The sequence below is a fragment of the Homo sapiens genome, chromosome 11 (assembly GCF_000001405.40).
Source record: "Homo sapiens chromosome 11, GRCh38.p14 Primary Assembly".
Taxonomy (NCBI): Eukaryota; Metazoa; Chordata; class Mammalia; order Primates; family Hominidae; genus Homo; species Homo sapiens.
The window spans coordinates 106,999,672-107,019,044 of record NC_000011.10 but is presented as its reverse complement, the minus strand read 5'-3'; the positions used below and the strand labels follow the sequence as shown (position 1 = coordinate 107,019,044).

The 19,373-nt window shown below is 39.4% G+C and overlaps 1 protein-coding gene across 2 annotated transcripts in view, besides 1 other annotated feature; it reads left to right on the top strand.

Annotated features, from left to right (window-relative positions):
• Window positions 1-568: 568 nt before the first annotated feature.
• Window positions 569-19,373, top strand: part of GUCY1A2 (guanylate cyclase 1 soluble subunit alpha 2) — a 344,458-nt gene continuing 325,653 nt past the window's right edge. For both annotated transcript variants that reach the window (NM_000855.3, NM_001256424.2), the window contains exon 1: window positions 569-1,292. In NM_000855.3, the coding sequence (NP_000846.1) occupies window positions 990-1,292 (303 nt within the window). In that variant the 5' untranslated portion in view covers window positions 569-989. The remainder of the gene's footprint in view (window positions 1,293-19,373) is intronic.
• Window positions 1,046-1,175: a silencer, noted in NCBI's record as "silent region_3869". NCBI's record gives its function as "represses an Ori minimal core promoter by ATAC-STARR-seq in GM12878 lymphoblastoid cells {active_cell/tissue: GM12878}" and the evidence as "EXISTENCE:reporter gene assay evidence [ECO:0000049][PMID:35858748]".

Below are 19,373 nucleotides of genomic sequence, written 5' to 3'. Positions count from 1 at the left end.
CAGGAGCTGCTCCAGCAGGATGGGCGCCAAAATGTTGCCCCTGTCCTTCCCTTCCCCTGAAAGCGTCTCCTCTGGAGTGGGCTGGCTGGACGCTTGGCCTTTCCCTTTTGCCTCGGAACTTCCTAAATAAACTCGGAGAAAGGACAACATGGACCCTAACCCCCACTTCACACTGTCAGGTTTCCCCAAGGTGGCTCCAGGGGGAGGCCTCTCGCCCCCCAGCCCCGAGCCCTTCTCCCCACCAGCGCCGCCGGGACCCATCTGCTCCCGAGGGCCGAGGATAAGGCGTTTGGGGTTGGGGCCCTCAGTCCGACCCGAGCTCCTGTGCGCACCTCCTCGGAGCAGGGAGGGCGCGCAGAGGACAGCAACGAAGTGTCCTCGTTGCTCCTGAAACGTGGCGACAGGCGAGGCAGAGACTCCCAATGAGTATGATGGCGACACGTGATTCCCGCGGAGGGAGAGCATGGGGGGGGGCGGGGGGATAAAGGGAGAAGGAGGGAGGCAGGGCAGCAAGTGGAGAGAGGCGGGAGCAGAGAGGGAAAGGGGGCGAGATAGGCGCGCAGGCGGCAGAAGCCTCTGCCTCTGCCTCCCCTTCTGCTTGGGCCGCAGCCCTCCCCGCCCCGCCGACCGCGGTCACACACTCTCGGAGCCTCCCCGTGAGCGGGAGCGCGGCGCACGGCGATGCGCCGAGGCGGGCGCTGAGGCGGCGCCGCGCGAGCAGCAGCAGAGGCGGCGGCGGCCCCCAGCCCAGCCCGGCGCCGCCGCCGAGCCCGGGCCCCAAGGTGCGGCGGCGCCCCAAGTTCCCGCCATGAGCAGCCGGCTCGGGGGGCTCCGCGGCCCCGGGGACTCCCGCCCCGCCGGGCGCGACCGCAGCGCCCCGCGGCCCCGACGCGCTTAACGTTGTCGCTTGCCGGTCCCGCCACCGCCGCCTCCGCCGCCGCTCGCGTCCTCGCCGCCACCGCCTCGGCCGCTGCAGCTCCGCCGGCAGCATGTCTCGAAGGAAGATTTCGTCCGAGTCCTTCAGCTCCCTGGGCTCCGACTACCTGGAGACCAGCCCGGAGGAGGAGGGGGAGTGCCCCCTGTCTAGGCTCTGCTGGAATGGCAGCCGGAGCCCGCCCGGGCCGCTGGAGCCCAGCCCGGCCGCAGCTGCCGCTGCCGCCGCCCCGGCCCCGACCCCGGCTGCTTCTGCCGCCGCCGCCGCTGCCACTGCCGGGGCCAGGAGGGTGCAGCGCCGGAGGCGGGTCAACCTGGACTCGCTGGGCGAGAGCATCAGCCGCCTGACGGCGCCCTCGGTGAGCGGGGGGCGGAAGGGGGGACCGCCTTCGGGGGAGAGAACGCGGATCTGTAAAGTTGGCGCTGGGCGAGCCGGGGCGCGAGCGCAGAGCCCGACCGCTGGGGGGCGGCCCGGCCTTACCCTGCACGGCCTAGGGTTCCAGTGGCTCCGGCGACAGAGGATCCCCTAGGCTAGGGCGGAAGAGGGGACTACAGCACTGGGAAGGAATAAGATTCCACTCCTTTGGGGTATCCTGATTCGGGGGCCTGTCTGCCCACCTCTAGCCTTGAACCCTACTTCACCACTGTTCCCCCTGGACAGCCCCAGTGCTGCTTCACACCCACCTGTTTTCTTTCCCCTAAACTTTCCCAGGCACTGTGTTCTGCAGTTCAGCTTCCCTGTCTTTCATCCTGTTCTCCAGCATCCCAAAGGAGCCCCAACCCCTTCCAGGAAACCCTTCCTCTCCTTATTTCCCACACTCTCTTGGTCTTAGCGTGACCTTCTCTGACATCTTTGAATTCCACAGGCTATCTGCATTCTATGTTGCATCCTTTTTCTCACATCTTCAGATACTTTTTGCCAGATACTTTTCTGAGTTGCCTTCTGTTCAAGTAATCTCTAATCTCGAGTTGTCCTCACCCCGTAGCTTTTTTTCTTTTTCTTTCTTATCCACTAGGCATTTATTCTTCTCTGGGTAAACCTGGTGTCTGGATTTCTTTTTTTTTAAATTAAATTTAATTTAAAGTCCCGGGTTACATGTGCAGGATGTGCAGATTTGTTACATAGGTACCAAACGTGTGCCATGGTGGTTTGCTGCACCTACTAACTCATCACCTAGGTATTAAGCTTCGCATGCATTAGCTATTTAAACCGCTCTGTACTTCTTGCACCTGTACCTCATCCTTTACTCTCTCCTCAATGGATTCTCTAGTGCTTTCTCTCTCACATTAGCTATTTAAACCTCTCTGTACTTCTTGCACCTGTACCTCATCCTTTACTCTCTCCTCAATGGATTCTCTAGTGCTTTCTCTCTCACATTAGCTATTTAAACCGCTCTGTACTTCTTGCACCTGCACCTCATCCTTTACTCTCTCTTCAATTGATTCTCTAGTGCTTTCTCTCTCATTTTTTGGTGGCTTCTTTATATTAGGCCCTTCCTAAATATTTGTGGAATGAATAAATGCCTCTCCAAACTTGTGGTCATCTTGGGATGTCTGTATCAGCAGTTTCAGGTGTACAACAAACTCCCCCTGGTTGTAGGCATCCTTCCAGAGGAGTACTGCCTTATTCCTGCCCAGGCATTTCAGCTACCCTTGGCTTTTACCTCTTGCAGGAATGCCAGACCTCTGATCCAATCTTACCGTGTCTGGGAGAGCTCTGTTTTAAAGAAATCCACTCTGTTGCAGACAGAATTTGAAAAAGATTCAGCGTCAAACCTCCACCCATCTTTTATGCTCACCCTGACCTTGGATACAAGAGCTTTAGCTCCTCCTGACAGCACTTTCACCTGCCCACCCCTAGGACTTTTACTTTTTTAAAGTTTCCGAAATGAATCTGAACACTGATCTTGTTTGATTACTGTTGAGTCTCTCTTTTGAGATTACTACTGCAAATGATGGTAGGGGGGACCTAAGAAGGAGTGGAACCCTGAGGGGACTGAGTACGGGTACCAGACAGGTCTACAAATATTCTTGTGGCACTTGTATTAATGGAGAATGATTTTTTTCTTTTACGAGACCTGATTGAAGATGTATAAATCACTTATTACATTATTTATTTTGAACTAATTTAATTCTTAGGAACACATATTGAGAAACAGTCATCTTCCTATTCTTGTGTATTTTCGTATTTGATATATCTTTCTGCCACTTTTTCTTTCATCATTAACCTAGAAAACAATCCTCAGAATAGATTGGCTACTCTTTGCTGTTCTTCCCTGCCAATATTTCCCAGGCAGCGTAATTTTATAAACTATTTGATGTTGCAAATTGTTGAAAATATTTATTTACAACAGGAGTCCAATGACCCCGAGCGTCTGTAGGCTTGTGTCAGTACTTAAAGCAACATTTGTGCAATAAAATAGTTATTTAGTACAACAGATTCTTATTTAATGAAATGATTTTGCTAAAGATAATGATTAGTTTGGGGAGAATTGTTGATATAACCTTGGAGGTTTTTTTTTTTTTTTTTTTTTTTTTTTTTTTTTTTTTGCCTAAGAGAATTTACAGATTTCTAAAAAGTAATGTCAATGCCTCTGATAATGCTAATTTAAGCTAAGACTATTTTCAACAACTTACATGAGGAGTAGATAAAAGAAACTGAGAAATGCAGTATTTTCTGCTAGAATAAGAGGAAGGAAATAGTCTCTGATGGTTACTTTTATAAGTTAAATTTGAATGACTGGCTTTTTGCTGGATGAAAAGAATGTATCCAGAGAATGGTTTTCAGAATAAGCAATTTAAAAATAATTGTGATGATCAAATAAATGCAACAGCTCTATATACTTTCCATGCCATAGTTGTTTTCTATTATGAAAAGGGTCTGTCAGGTGGACGCTGAGAACATACAGGTGAATATACTGTAAACATTTTCAACATAACACATGTATAGAAAAATTCTCCTTGGTTAACCATATCATCAATAGACTTAGTGACACAAATAAAAGAGAGAGATTATATTTCAAAGCAGTGACTCATTTCTGGGCAGTCCTTACCTTATTTTATTTGGCAAGTTAGAACACTAGCTCAAAAAGTTCCAGTAGATTCATTTTTTGACATTGTCAGGATTTGAAACTTCTTTGAATACTCTTCAGGAGATGGATTATGTCCTCTCTATTCTCTCATGAAAGCTGGACATTTTTTTGTTTTTGAACCACTGAGAGTAGCCATTACCAGAGCCTTTTTAGATGGGAATTTCTAGTTGTTTTGAATGTTGTGAGCTTTCTTGCATGCCATCACAATATACTTCAGGAGAAACTGTACTTGCCATGGAAGCTCCTGTTTTGTCAGTTGTCTCATCGTGGCATGTCTCAGTCACTTGGGATTTCTTCTTTATTCAGAATGATTTGCAAATAGAAAAATGAAAATTTATTTATTAAACTAGTTATTTGACCCATGGGATATCCACACTCAGGTTTTTGATGCTTAATAGTCACTTTAAGATGCACCGATGTTGAGTATAAAGGTTATAATAATTTCTAATACTATTTAATAAGAGTAAGTTGTATTGGTGAAATTGAAAAAAAATTCCAGAATTCGGGAGACCTGATTCTAATTTTGCCTTGAACAATGAGAAACTTACATATCTCTGGACACATTACTTTAAATATCTGGGATTTCCCAGGCTTTGGACAAACTGTCATATTGGCATATGAAAGGGAAACATGGGCCAGGCGTGGTGGCTCATGCCTGTAATCCCAGCACTTTGGGAGGCCGAGGCAGGCAGATCACTAGGTCAAGAGATTGAGACCATCCTGGTCAACATGGTGAAACCCCGTCTCTACTAAAAATACAAAAATTAGCTGGGCATGGTGGCGTGCACCTGTAGTCCCAGCTACTTGAAAGGCTGAGGCAGGAGAATTGCTTGAACCCGGGAGGCAGAGGTTGTAGTGAGCCGAGATTGCGCCACTGCATTCCAGCCTGGCGACAGAGCGAGACTCCGTCTCAAAAAAAAAAAAAAAAAAAAAAAAAAAAGGAAAACATGGCATATATTATAAGTTTTAAAACTTTTGAGGAAAGTAGTTTACTTTTTAAGATAGGGGCACCAAAATGCTATTTAATCCACCCAATTATTTAAAAAATATTGTAGTATCTATGTGGCAGGTATTGTGCAGAGCATTTGGAAAGACAAATGCTGAACAAAACATATCTAGTCTTTGATTTCATGGAACTTCTTTAATCATTATCTTTATTTTAATGAAACTATATAAAGGGAAAACATAAGAACTCCAATTGTCTTGGCGAAATCTAGGGGAAGTTTTATTTGTCATTCACTTTGGGTAGTTTTGTTCATTGTGAATCTCTGGGGTGCAGCCATAATAATAAAAATAACCCTCCAATTAGCAGGTCATGATGATGCACGCCTGTAATCCCAGCTACTTGGGAGGCTGAGGCTCGAGAATCGCTTGAACCCGGGAGGCGGAAGTTGTGATGAGCTGAGATCACACCACTGCACTCCAGACCCTGGGTGACAGCGAGACTCTGTCTCCAAAACAAAACAAACAAAAACCCTCAAGACCTTAAGACCTGATTGAAGATGTATAAATCATTTATTACATTCTTTATTTTAAAATAATATAATAGTTGGGAATACATATTAAGCAACAGCTGGGGATTTCACATCAAGGGTGAACTTAGCGACTTATTTATTTGGATTTTATTCTTAAATGAGAGTTGCTTAGTTACCCTATCACTGCGACATCAATTTTGGGTTTGCTGGTGTCAGCCTGTCAGTGAAGATACACCACTAGAGTCATATAAGGGCAAGGCTTCTCTAGGTTTCTTGACAGAGAACATTGCAAGTGGCTTTGAAGACCTCAGAAGCTTTAGAGAGCAGAATGTCAGGAAAAAAAAGTAACAGAATTGGAGGAGTGGCAAATAAGGAGAGGAGAGCTACTGACCTGTGGAGTTGTTCAAGAAACAGAGACTAGTGAAGAGGAAAAAATGAAGGTGGAAGCTTAGATTCAAGTGACAAAAAAGCATAAATTATTATTTTGGGGAAGGAAATTATCTTAATACATGTCAAGGAAAGAATGAAAAGGCATAAAATACTTTAGCTTCTGTTGATATTAAATAAAATGAGCTCTCTGACATGTATAAACCTTGAAAAAAAACCTTAGAAAGTATGTGTGTAACTAACATGTAGACAATGAAAAATGTAAAAAATATATTCGTAAGGTAGGCTATTGGACAAATTTAGGTAGTTTAATTAAAGCTTTTTAAATTTGGGGCTTAATTTGGCTAACAAAGTTATAGAAACAGATTCATTACCATTATAAAATTATATAAAGTATATTTCAGTTGTTTAATGTTTTCACATTTGTTGAAAATAGATACTATAATCTGAAATCAGAATTTAATGGCAATCTATTGCCTTTCTTTACCTTATCCCCAATCATTTAGAAACAACATGACAGAGTTGAAAGCACAAAGTTTTGGAGTCTGACAAATTTCGGTTTGAGTAATCCTCTGCTGAGCCCCTTACTAAGTATGAGTCCCTGGGAAAGCTAACTCTTATCTTCTCTGAGCCTTAGTTTCCTCTTTTGTGAATTAGGAATAACAACTACCTTGTAGGTTTGTTGTGTATAAGGAGGAATATTCTTCTTAAAGCTTCCTAAACTCAATAGATGATAGTTTCAGGGTGAGATCTATTAATTTTAACTGAATTTGAATGCCTCAAAGTGATCTAAATTTTTCATTTTCTTTTTTTCTCAATAATTCACTTGCTAGTCACCTAATTGGAAAAGTTTATAGAATAGGTTAACAGATGTCAAGTACGAAAAAAAAAAAAAAAGTAATAAGAAGCACTGTATTTTGTCGGCATAGCCCAGACAATCCATTAAAAAAATTAAAACTGGAGTCCCTTTTTGGCCCCTGGGTATGACTCATGTGTGTACACAGACATATAAAAATTGCAGATCCAAACATTTCCATCAGATTACTGACTGCTGTGTGGCAATATGAAAACTACTTTATAAATTCTATAAAAATACAAGGACATATATATTTGGTAGAATGTAGATATTTCATGACAAGTTAATTTTAAATTAGAAAAATTGTAGGTGAAAGAGAAGTTATTTATTTCAGTTGCCTAAGAATTCCAAGCATTCTTCATCTACTGCATTCAAACTAATCTGTATGTGTGTTCAAAGGCCTTGATAGTGAGATGCAACAATTACATAGCTAATGCTGTTTATATTTTATGGTGCTGCCTTCTTGTTTGGCTATTGGTTCAATTGCTAGGCTTTCTTTTGTCTTTTTCTTTTTCTTTTTTTTTTTGAAATAGGGTCTTGCTCCTGCCTCAGCCTTCTGAAGAGTAGAACTTTCACTTTAAAGTTACATTTTGTCAATGAGAAATGACATCAGTGATTATTAGGTTTGTAAGTAGAAGTCAGACACTCTGACTATATATTATAGTATTATATATTATATACTCCTTTTTATATATATTAAAGATATATATTTATATATTATAAATATATATGTGTATATATTATAAATATATTTATATATTTAATATATTAAAAATATATTTTATATATATTATATAGTCCTGATTATATATTCCTTTTTAGTGTATAGTTTATTTACCTTTAAGGACTCTAAGATGCATAGGTGAAGTACTTGAGTGCTATTATATATTTTTCCCATCTATGTCATCATTAGTCTTTTTGTTCACCTTTTTGTCCTGTTGCCGTTAATTATACAGAGCTCTAAGTAAAATAAAACATAAATATTTTATTGAATATGATAGGAAAATAAATGCACTGTCATTTGACACATACATTGTTGATCATGAGTTACTAGGAAGGTATAATTTTCTTTTTTGAGATTTCACACACATGTAGGCACATAGGCCGGGAGAATATTTGCAAGGGCTATCTATTGAGCAGGCTTTCTTCACAGGCCCTTTGTTCGATGCATGAGGCAGTGGGTTAATTTAACATTTAAAGCCTCTGTCCTTGATATTCTTATGTTTAACTTGTGTTTAGCATAGTATGGTTGTTCAATAAAATGCTTAGGAGGGCCAGGCGCAGTGGTTGACGCCTGTAATCCCAGCACTTTGGGAGGCTGAGGCAGATGGATTGCCTGAGGTCAGGAGTTCAAGACGAGCCTGGCCAACATGGTGAAACCCTGTCTCTACCAAAAATACAAAAATTAGCCAGGCGTGGTGGTGGGCGCCTGTAATCCCGCTACTTGGGAGGCTGAGGCAGGAGAATAGCCTGAAAGTGGGAGGGGGAGGTTGCAGTGAGCCGAGATCATGCCACTGCACTCCAGCCTGGGTGACAGAGGAATACTCCATCTCAAAAAAAGTAAAAAAAAAGTGCTCAGGAGAAGTAAATACATGTTTTTGTTTAATTGTTCAATTTTATTAATGTTTCTTTTGTGTTTAATTTTTTTTTGGTGGTATATTTAGTTCCATCAACCAAAATATTTAGATTTTTCATCCAGCCTGTGATAGACATATTCAAGTATGCGAACCTGTTTGAATTTTGCTTACACCTGCTATTTAAAGCAAAACTTCGGAAGGAAGTCGTTTTACAAAAAGAGCAGATGGAACAGTATCCTCCTCCTTGGACTCTTTGAGTCGTCCATTTATATAATATTTTAAGAAGTTAGGTAAATGTAATGACTCTTCTACAGTCTGGATTGCTTATATTTTCTGCCCAATTCTCTGTCAAATGAGAAGAAATGTTTGTCAACAAGTAGGCTACTGTTGCCAAAAATGCACTACTAGGAGATGGAAATGACATAATTATGGCCCTTAAACATCACTTCAGGACAGGATCTGAAGATCTAGAATTATGTGCTGTTAGCTCAGAGTACCTCATAACATTGAGGGCTAGAGTCATTTAGGAGGTAGGGCAGTGGGAAATATCTTGGAAGGCGGGAAATTTGCTGGGGCTGTTGTAGGGAAATGAGAAAGAGTAAACATTCTTATAAATAGTGAGAAATCACTTCCAGAGCAGGCTTTATTTGAGGCTTATTAAACAGTTCTTCATTTAATCTAGTAGCTCTCAAGCTTCATTGAACACAAGACATACCTGAGGAAAATTGTTAGAATGCAGATTCCTGGGTCTCATCCTCAGAGGATCTGGTTGGATAGTTCCAGGGAGGGGCCCAAACTACATTTTGAACAAAACTCCAGGTAATTGCTCAGCATGCTGAAGGTATGTCTAGAGGTGACTGAATTCCAGACCTTGAGGACTACTGAGCAGTGAGCTCTATGGGCTGATTTTTGGGAAGAATGATCCTGAAAGTCGCTTCCTTTGGGATTAATGTATCCCAGACAACTATTACCTTTACTGGGTTAGGGATAAAGGTGGTGAATTGGTGCTGTTATCCCCACATCCTATGGCTGTATCTTTTGTGGTCGAAATAATCTTACTGGTTGTATGGTAGAAGGTATTTGAGGTTTCACCATTTGTAGCTTTAATTATCTGTGGACTCTGCCCGTTTTTCCCGAGGATGTTTTGTTAACTGCTTATGTTTATGTTCAGTAGTTCGCATGTCATTACTATAAGTATCTTGTGACCCCTTTTTCCAAAACAGAGAAACAGATATTTGAAAAGGTTGGGGATTGTAGAAAAAAAGAAGGGTGGTTGTGAGGGTGAATTTGACATTATCACCAGCATTTGTGTTTTTCAGAGTGAGATTGACACAACATTTCTCAAATGCTCCATCTACTGGTTCATTTTGGAGGAGTGATTTGTTTACATGCCAATGAAAAATTAAAAAGGTAAAGGGAGAAAAAACAGATCTGAATGCCAGAATTTTTTTTTTCTAGAAAGAAAACAATAGGAGGTTCAGATATCAGATATATAGGGCCACCTCTCAAACCTTACCAAAATATGACACTAACATTAATGCTTCCTAATCTCTGCATCCTTAGCCGTTCATTCAGTGGTGAAGTTGGGTGGGGGTCTCTCATTTAGTTCTCCAAGTAAATAAATGGTGATCCAACATTTGAAGAATTTGTATTTGCAGACAACTCTAATAATCTATCATGAAAGGAAGTTATCTGTGTGGAGGTCCTGATGTTACCTTAATTGTAAGTCCATAAAGTCCACTTGACTCATTTTCCTTTCACTGTATAATATTTGTTATGCGTGAGTCTACTGTGGCCAATGGCAAAAATCAGAATGTTCTAAAACATCCTTCCATTCCTTGTTGCTTTATGTCTATGCTTCTTCATACATGAACCCTCCAACTTAATACTGGGAGAGGATGGTTTTTCTGACTGTTTTTATGTACACACGCACACGTGTATATATATCGTGATTTCTGTCACTCCATTTTTTCCCCTATGGAATCCTAACTTATCACTCACATCTCCATTATGGGACTTATTGTATTGTACCTTGATTTTGGTTTATTCTGCCTCTTTGAGATGGAAATCCTGTCTTATTTATCTATGTATGCGCATGCCTAGCAGAGTATCTGAATTATAAAGGCACTCAATAAATGTTTGTTAAAAGAATGAATAAATGATTGAATAAGTCCTTGTGTAGTTTATGATGTATTTGGTACTGCTCTTTTGGCTATAATGATTTTGTGATTTTTAATTGATTATTTTATCTGACTGTTCTGTTTGCAGCTTTTTCTCAGACATAAACGGGAATATAGTTATAACATTATTTTTTAGAATGCGTTAAGATTTTCTAAACATTCTCCTACCTGACATTTTATTGGGACTTCATAATAATCTGTAGGTTTTATGCAAATTGCCTCTCACTTTGGGTAGTATGATTATCTTTTTTTTTTTTTTTTTTTTTGAGATGGAGTCTTGCTCTGTCGCCCAAGCTGGAGTACAGTGGCACAATCTTGGCTCACCACAGCCTCTGCCCACCGGGTTCCAGCGATTCTCCTGCCTCAGCCTCCTGGGTAGTTGGAATTACAGGCGCATGCCACCATGCCTGGCTAATTTTTGTATGTTTATTAGGGGTTTCGCCATATTGGCTGGGCCTGGTGTCGAACTCCTGACCCCAGGTGATCTGCCTGCCTTGGCCTCCCAAAGTACTGGGATTACAGGCGTGAGCCACCGCACCAGGCCGGATAGTATGATTATCTTAAAATGCCTGTAGACACAACAGTTATTTGGGGTTGCTGATGTGCTGCCACTTACAAGGGTGTCTATATTATCTCCTAAAGAAATGTGTATCTGTAAGCTAGAGGGACAGTAAATCTATCATGCTGTGTTGTTCATTATTATTTTAGTATGTAAGAAATCCTGTATTACCAAACATTCTATTAAATACAATTCTACAAACCAGCATATCCATATATCTATCTTACAATAATCATTAGTGGACACAATAGTGGCACAGGGAGGGATAGTGTCCTTGAAAAAAGTGTAGAGTTAGAAATTGCTTGTTTAAAGATTGGGGAAGAGAACTGCCTAGGAATAGGAAGAAGTGTTATTGGGTGTTTTTTGAGGGCCCACTTGAGGTTGGAGATAATGAGTATGTAGATCAAATTGGGAAGATGAGTATGACATGCAGAGGTATAAAGCAATGATAGTATTGTTTATGCATTAGAAGGCCTATATGTCAGATTGAGCTTGAGGTGTTTGGGGACAATCCGCTGGAGTGGAGGGTTATGTCTTCAGGAATAATGAGTGAATGTCCAAACGGGGAAAGCTGCAATAATCCAAAGACATTTCTAGCCTTTCTGTTTGAACACCGATCTGAAATTAAGACTATTTAGAATATATCTAGAGCATTCTTTCACTATTCATTTCACTCTCTCGGAGTAGCTGATTTGTTTACCCCTCTTCTAAACCAGAATCAGGTAACCTGGTAACTAGTTAGTCTTTGAGAAACTCAGTTCTAATTAATTGCTTGATTAGTATTTACATCATGCTTTCAAAGTTAGGACTAATCCTTGAAAAGCCCAAGGATATTTAGCTACATCATTCATGCATTTTTTTTTATGGTTCCAATGAGTAGTTGGTATACTGTACGGTTTTCTTGGCTCAGACTTGATACATCACTCCTTGAATATAAGACAGTCTACGGGTTTTAGAGTAGCAGTGACCACCAAAACATTTCAGGTTGTGTTGGAGAGTGCAGTGGATATTTTCCTTCTTAAAAAGGTAGAAATTCGTTCTGGTGAATCAAACATTCTAAGTGAGCTATCACATATGCAGTACTGATTTGTAAGAGAGCAGATGAAATTCTATGAAATGCACTTAAGAGTGAAAGGATTTTAAATTTGTTAGTCAGTCCTTCATAATCCCAAAGGTTCACCTGTGTGTTTCAGTGCCTCAGTGTTGTCCTTATGAGTATTAACTATCACTCTGCTGTAGATTGTGTGAACATCCTGGTGTGGGCAGTGTTTTAGATAATCAAGTGCTTGATAATAGCAAACTTGCTCTATGTAGAAGCACTGAGGAAGTAAATGGTACTTGTGGTCTGACCAAGTTAATGTGCATACCATTTCTCATATTCCACCAGGGAGTCTCTTAGGCAAGGGAAAGATATTGTGAGTAGATTTTAACAAACCGTTTTCCTATCTTTTAGACTTCTGTATAATTTGGTGAATGTGCTTGTCTTGTTTTCCTTGAAAAATGCCTATCAGCCCATTTGTATATATACATGCACAGAATGGTTGGAGGCTGATCCTGCAACTCAATAGATGCTGCATTCTGATTTTTGTTCTAATTTGACTTTGGGGAAATAACTTTTGTCTCCACTTCCCATCTCTGAAATCACATCTATCTCACTAATCTCTCACTCAAGAGTAAATATGTAATAAAATGTGAACAGTGAATGGAAGACATTGTGTTTACTATTACTCATGACTTCCTTGTTCTGCTTCACTTCTTTCTTGTAAAACAAAATATTCCTTCAGGTTCTTTAACTCTCTGCATTCTGGGAAAAGAGGAGATTTGCAGTCTGGCAAACTCTTCTTGTTATCTTGGGCATCACTGGATAAATTCGCCTCTCTGAGGATCAGTTTGTTCTGTATAAAATGAGGTTTACAATTCATAGGATTATGAAGATTAAAAGTATAGTAATGCCTAGCACAGTATTTGGACTATAGCATACGATCAATAGATTTTGGTGCCTTTAGCTAACACCTTCTTACCAGTTATCCTGATACTTTCAATTACCTCTAGCCACAATCTTTGGCAAAGTCTCTAGATAATACCTTTTGTCATGGTTCGTGTTTAGTGCTCTTATGCTTTTTATGGGAAATATTTCCAACATTTTTGGGCATATGACATTTCAGGGTTATACTGTAGGGGTAATATACTTATAAAAGATGTTCTCTTTCAGAAATCTTAAAAACAAATGCGATCTTACCAGGTTCTTGTTTATTCACTCATTCAGTTACCTCTCACATTCATTCATTAATTCAGACAGCATTTATTATCAAATGAGCACTTACTAATTTATTCAGCATATATTCCATATACTTTAAACACATGAATGAAGTAGGGGCTCTCAGAAAAAACATTTTACATTGTCATTTTTGTATTTAAAAATGTAAAATCACGCCTGTAATCTCAGCACTTTGGGAGGTTGAGATGGGAGGATCGCTTGAGCCCGGGAGTTTGAGACCAGCTTGGGCAACATAGTGAGATCTTGTCTCTACAAAAATACTGAAGAATTAGCTGGGCACAGTGGCATGCACCTGTGGTCCTGGATATTCAGGAGGCTGGGTGAGAGGATCACTTGAGCCCATGTGGTCAAGGCTGCAATGAGCTATGATCACACTACTGAATGGCAGCTTGGGTGACAGTGAGAAGTTGTCTCCAAAAAAATTTAAAAAATGTAAAATCACATTTAAAAAATTACCAAATTATGTCCACAGCAGCTATTGTCTGCCCCTCTGTCTGTCTCTGCCCCTTATTCTATGCTGACCTTTTCTAGTTTTGTGTGATGTGTGGGACATAGGGTCAAAGTACAGTGTGTATCTAAAAAGATCAGTTGAAGCTATAGTAATGATGATAATAATATTTATTTGTTGAGTGCTTACCATTATCGGGCAGTGTGCTTAGTGTTCCATGAATTTTATTCCATTAAATACTCACAATATTAATGCAGGGGTGATGCCTTACCATGGTCATAGGACTTTAACAGAGAACATCAAGAACCTATGTCTCTAACCTCATCTTGTACTCTATATACTCATGGTTCTATGATGCACTCCTTGAATATGCTAAGCAAGCATCATTTTGCCTTAGGACTATTGTTCGGTTCCTCATGTCAGAAATGTCCTCTACCCACATCCTTTGCTTGGTTCTCCCAAGATTGGCTCTTCCTTAGTTTTCAGCTTTCAGCTCAGTGTCACCTCATCAGACAGTAGTCCTCCTACACCAACCATTCTGTTTCACATCACTGTTTGTTTATTCTTTTCATCATAGCTTCACTATCATAAATTATCTTATTTACTAGTTTACCTATTTATTACCTGTCTTCCCTCTTATAATTTAAGTTACACAAAGGAGGAACCTTGTCAGCGTTGCTCTCTGTGGGCTTTGCAGCACCTAGAATAGTCCTAGCTAGAGGTAGGGTCTTTATATAACTTTATTGATGTATAGTGTCACTTCAGAGGAAGCCTTAGGGCTTGGAAAAGAAAGAGAATATTTAAAAATAACTCATGGGGGAGGGGAGAAGGAGAATTAACATGTATTAAGCAACTGCTATGGAGCCAGAATTGATCAAATGCTTTTATAATATGTATCACTAAATTTTCAAAATCTCATAGGAAAATTTCGATTCAGAGAAGTTGAGTAACTTGCCTATGATGACAGTTAATTACTGACGGAAATAAGGTTGGAATCTTGTTCTGTTTAACTCCAAACCTCATATGCCTTTCAGTATTTTATATATTTCAAGCTTTGGTGAATGTGGTGGACGTCATGATTCACTGCCTAGATGCCCCTTTAGTAATGAAGGACTCATTCCTCTAGATGCTAGGGGTTCTGTTGACAGTCAGCCCTCAATCATTAGTCCTCTCTATATATTGCCTGGCCTGAGGAGAGGGGCCTTGCTCAAAGTCATGCCCCATTCCCATGATTAATCACCATGTGATAAGAAAGCTAGGCCTTCTTGCTCTAATTTAGGCAACTCTGAGATCAGAGCTCTATGTAGGGTCAGCTGAGACTTCCATTGAGTCTTCATCATAGTCCAACTTCTCCTTGTGCCCAATTCTGCTTTCTTCTCTACCCTTTCATGGTTGTTGATCCCAAGAACACTCCCTAATAAGTTTCCTGCATGCTAATCTCCTTCTTAGAGTCTGCTTCCTGGAGAACCCAACTCGTGATGGTGAGTTTGAGAATTGTCATGGCATTAACAAAAGTGCAAGATTCAGTAATGGGAAGGTGGCATTTGGGAGAAATATAATGATAGCTTTGGATTTGGATATTTTGAATTTAGTAAAAATGATTAGCTCTGGACTGTGAGATCTTTAAGGGTTTGTTTACTGAATGACCAAGCTCAGTTAAGTGCCTGCCAGTTGATTTAATAAATAGAGGATTGAAGATATGGGATTGGAATCTGGCTAAGAGCTTGTGATTGAAGATAGTTACTTTAGAGGTGATAGCTAGTATCTTGAAAATTGACAAACACTCTGAGAGAGAAAAAAATAAGAACAACGGAGAATTAGGGGGAAATATACAGAAAGAATAAAAAGAATATAGGTGACAGGATTTTTTTGTGTGTTTGTAGGATGGGAGGTGACTGGGAGCAGCTGGGAGCAAGGACCCAGTGGTTGATATTTGCAAAATAATGAAATTTAAGGATGGTCTTTTCAAATCCAGTATGATTGAGGTTGCTAGTGGCCTTAGAAAAGCGATGCCAATCCTGCAACTGAGATAAAGACCTATATAACAAAGTTTAAAAAGGGAATATATGGTGAGTAAACAAAGGATATTGTCGGCATACATCTCTGACTCAAGACATTTGATAAAAATAGAGACAGCAGCACCTGTGAGGCCAAATCTAAGTTTATTAGAGTTGGAAATTCATGTTTGAAGGTAAAAGATAAGTAAAAAAAAACTGGAGATGGATGAGATAAGACTTGATCAAGGATAGGGTCTCTTTAGAGGCATTCTCTAACCTATTTCCTAAGAATGAGGACACTTCTTTCTTTATACTCAAGGGGAATGTAGGAATATGGCAGAGTAGGAGTACAGTGCAAAGGCTACTGTCATATTTTGGTTTTATTCATACCTAATTTATTATTACATTCTTGTCTAGATTTTGTCATTTTAACTTAGTCATTGGCCAGTAATTTTGTATATCTAGCAATTATCACATTTAAATTGCCATGCAATTTGCAGTTCTCTAGATATATATTAATGATGGCAGCTGCACTGACTATGGGATGTCAAATCAGGTATGAAATGTCACTAATTCATCCTTCAGTAATTTTACTCAAGTCATGGAGAGTACATTATTTCATTTGTATAATCCACTGCTTACATAACTTTTGGATTGTCTTATCAATAGCTTTAGACTTCGGGTTTTCTCCTATCCTCCTAAAAATAAGCATTTATAAATTGAACACCATATGGAGGGAACTGTTTTTTTATTTGTGTTTGTATTAGCTTGTTTTGTTTTACTTATAAAAGTGTTTTATATATATATGTAGTTATAAAAGTTTATATATTTATGCGAGTTGTGTATGGACACACACACACACACACACACACACCTGTTCTTATTCTCTCCATGTCTGATATGACTTTGTTCAGTGTTAGAGCTCTTTTTGACACTTTTTTGATACTGGTAGAAAGGTCACTAATGGAGGGAACTCTCGAGGTATTAGGAGCCAAGTGAATAGGACTCTATTTTGTCGGTATATTAAATATATTTTATACTGTTGAAAGGTAGTGTGGAAGGTGAAATAAGGCCAAATAGGACATATGTCATCAAATGTAGCTTCTTGGCTCTCTTTCCTTTTCTGGGTGAATTTTAATCAATTTCATCAAGCAAGGATTTATATCTATTTTATGTACTGCAAAATTTTATGACTACAATATGCCTGGCACATTGTGGTTGGGCAACAATTTTTTTTTTTTTTTGAGACAGAGTCTCACTCTGTCGCCCAGGCTGCTGTGTAGTGTTGCGATCTCAGCTCATTGCAACCTCTGCCTCCCAGGTTCAAGCGATTCTCCTGCCTCAGCCTCCCGAGTAGCTGGGATTACAGGTGTCCGCCACCATGCCCGGCTAATTTTTGTATTTTTGGTAGAGATGGGGTTTTGCCATGTTGGCCAGGCTGGTCTTGAACTCCTGACCTCAGGTGATCCGCCTGCCTTTGCCTCCCAAAGTTCTGGGATTACAGGCGAGAGTCACTGTGCCTGGGCAATAAATATTTTTTAAATGAGTAAATTTAGAGTGAATGTAAAGATTTTTTTTTTAAGTATACCACACAAATGTTGTAAGAACCAAAAAAGGGAATACAAATCCACTTAAGAAAAATAAAATCAACAACAGCAAAAACAAAGTAGAAAAACAGAGAATATGCAAATGTAAATAATTATTATGTCCTGTTATTTTAATTTTTATTATTTCATATATTTACTGTATGCCCCCTATGCATGCTTAATTTTACTGTGTCATGAGCCAGAACCCTAAATCTGTGGAGCAAAAAATGGTTCCAGTCATTAGCCCAATTAAAAAAAATGTATTTTCCTTGAATGCTTGATCTTCTACACCAGTCAACTTACATTATATACTAGGAAGAAAAAATAAGTTCTGTCTACATGATCTAATTATATTTTAAAGAAATTCAATAGTATTTTATTAAGCAGATATTTGTTGTTTCTGTGCCAGGGATTTGAGATGTCTCAGTTATTTGGGGAAAATACTTATAATTCTATATCCCCACCTACTGCTCTGCTACCTATTTTCTTGTGATTCTGTTTCAAACATTTCAGGAATGAAATTTCAGAAAGATTTTATCTTTCTTCCAACTTCTTTCTTGTATAAAGTCTTCCCAAGAGAAATCCAGAACTTGTGGAAGAAAAATTCATATTACCCCTTCAGCAAATTTAAGAAAAACCTGTCATTGTACTAGTTAGAAGCTTATTATCTTAATTCAGTAGGTTTATGTAGACCTTAACAAAAGGAAATAAATATCTTGTAATGAGTATTGACCAAATTCTCTCAGTGCATGGTCACTCTGAGTCTGTTTGCCTTCTTCCAATTTCATTTCTTTCCCTTGTGTGATTGGTTTAATTTGTGTATGAATCATGTCTTGATTTTAAATGTTGTCTTACCAATTATTTGCTTTTTGGCTTAAGGAGTTTGTTATTTTCTAAAAAGGAAAGGATAGAGAGAGTCTTACAAATTGTGTTTTTATCATAGTATTTACACATGTAAACCCAAATTTATTTTAATAGGATATTTGAAGGATCTGTATTTATCTATTTATATCTATGTATTTATCTACCAATCTACTATTGATTTCATAGGGCAGGAGAGAGGGAGAGAGATGACCCTGTCATTAGATTCTGAATTTAAAAGTATCACATAATAGAAATCTGGAGTAGGTATAATTACCCTTATTGTATCTTTTTAAAATTTGCCACAACTAATGAAAATGTCTTTTACTTCCTTAACAAAAGAATATGCCTCCAAAGGCATTGTTGTAGGGAGTGATAATGATGAGATGATTGGGTTGTAATGGAACAGAGATGGAGGGAAAGAGTAAACCTTAGATACAGACTATTGTAATTCCATTTGAAGCTTCAGACAGATATGAGGGAGTTTCTAGTGTGGAAGTTGGAGAAGAGAGATTTATTGTTTCCACCTGACATAAAGATCAGTAAATGCTTTGTGGACCTGACAGTGTTTGCAAGCTATAAAGTCTTTCTCTCTTTTTCTGTGTTAACTTATTGCCATTGTAAACACATTTCAAAGAAAACCAATCTTCCCCTTTGTTCTGAATTAAATTTTTTTCTCCAAAAGTATACCTGCAATTTATAAACCTAACTTTCCTGCTGAAGGAGAATGGATGGGATTCTCCAGCAGCTTATTGCAGGTGGCTAACTATATGAATTGTGGTGGAGGAGGCTGCTGCCTACTGATTTTCTAAGGACTTAGGCACTTTATCTCCTTATTCAGCTGCATTCTTGGGTTGCGGGTGAGGGAAAAATGGAAGGAATAAAATATTAAATTAAGTTGTAAATGTAATTTTCTACCATCAATCTAGCTTTCTTGACTGTTTAGAAAAATCTAGATAATCTAGGTCTCAAACACCTAGTGAACACAAATATCCAATTGTTTTGATTATACAGGTGGAATATATCACCTTAATGGTGCTAATGGCAACTATAGTGATAGAAATTAACAATTCCATTGGACATGTAATTGGAAAAAGTATTGTACTACAAGTTACCCCAAGAAACATACTTTTTCAAAGAATAT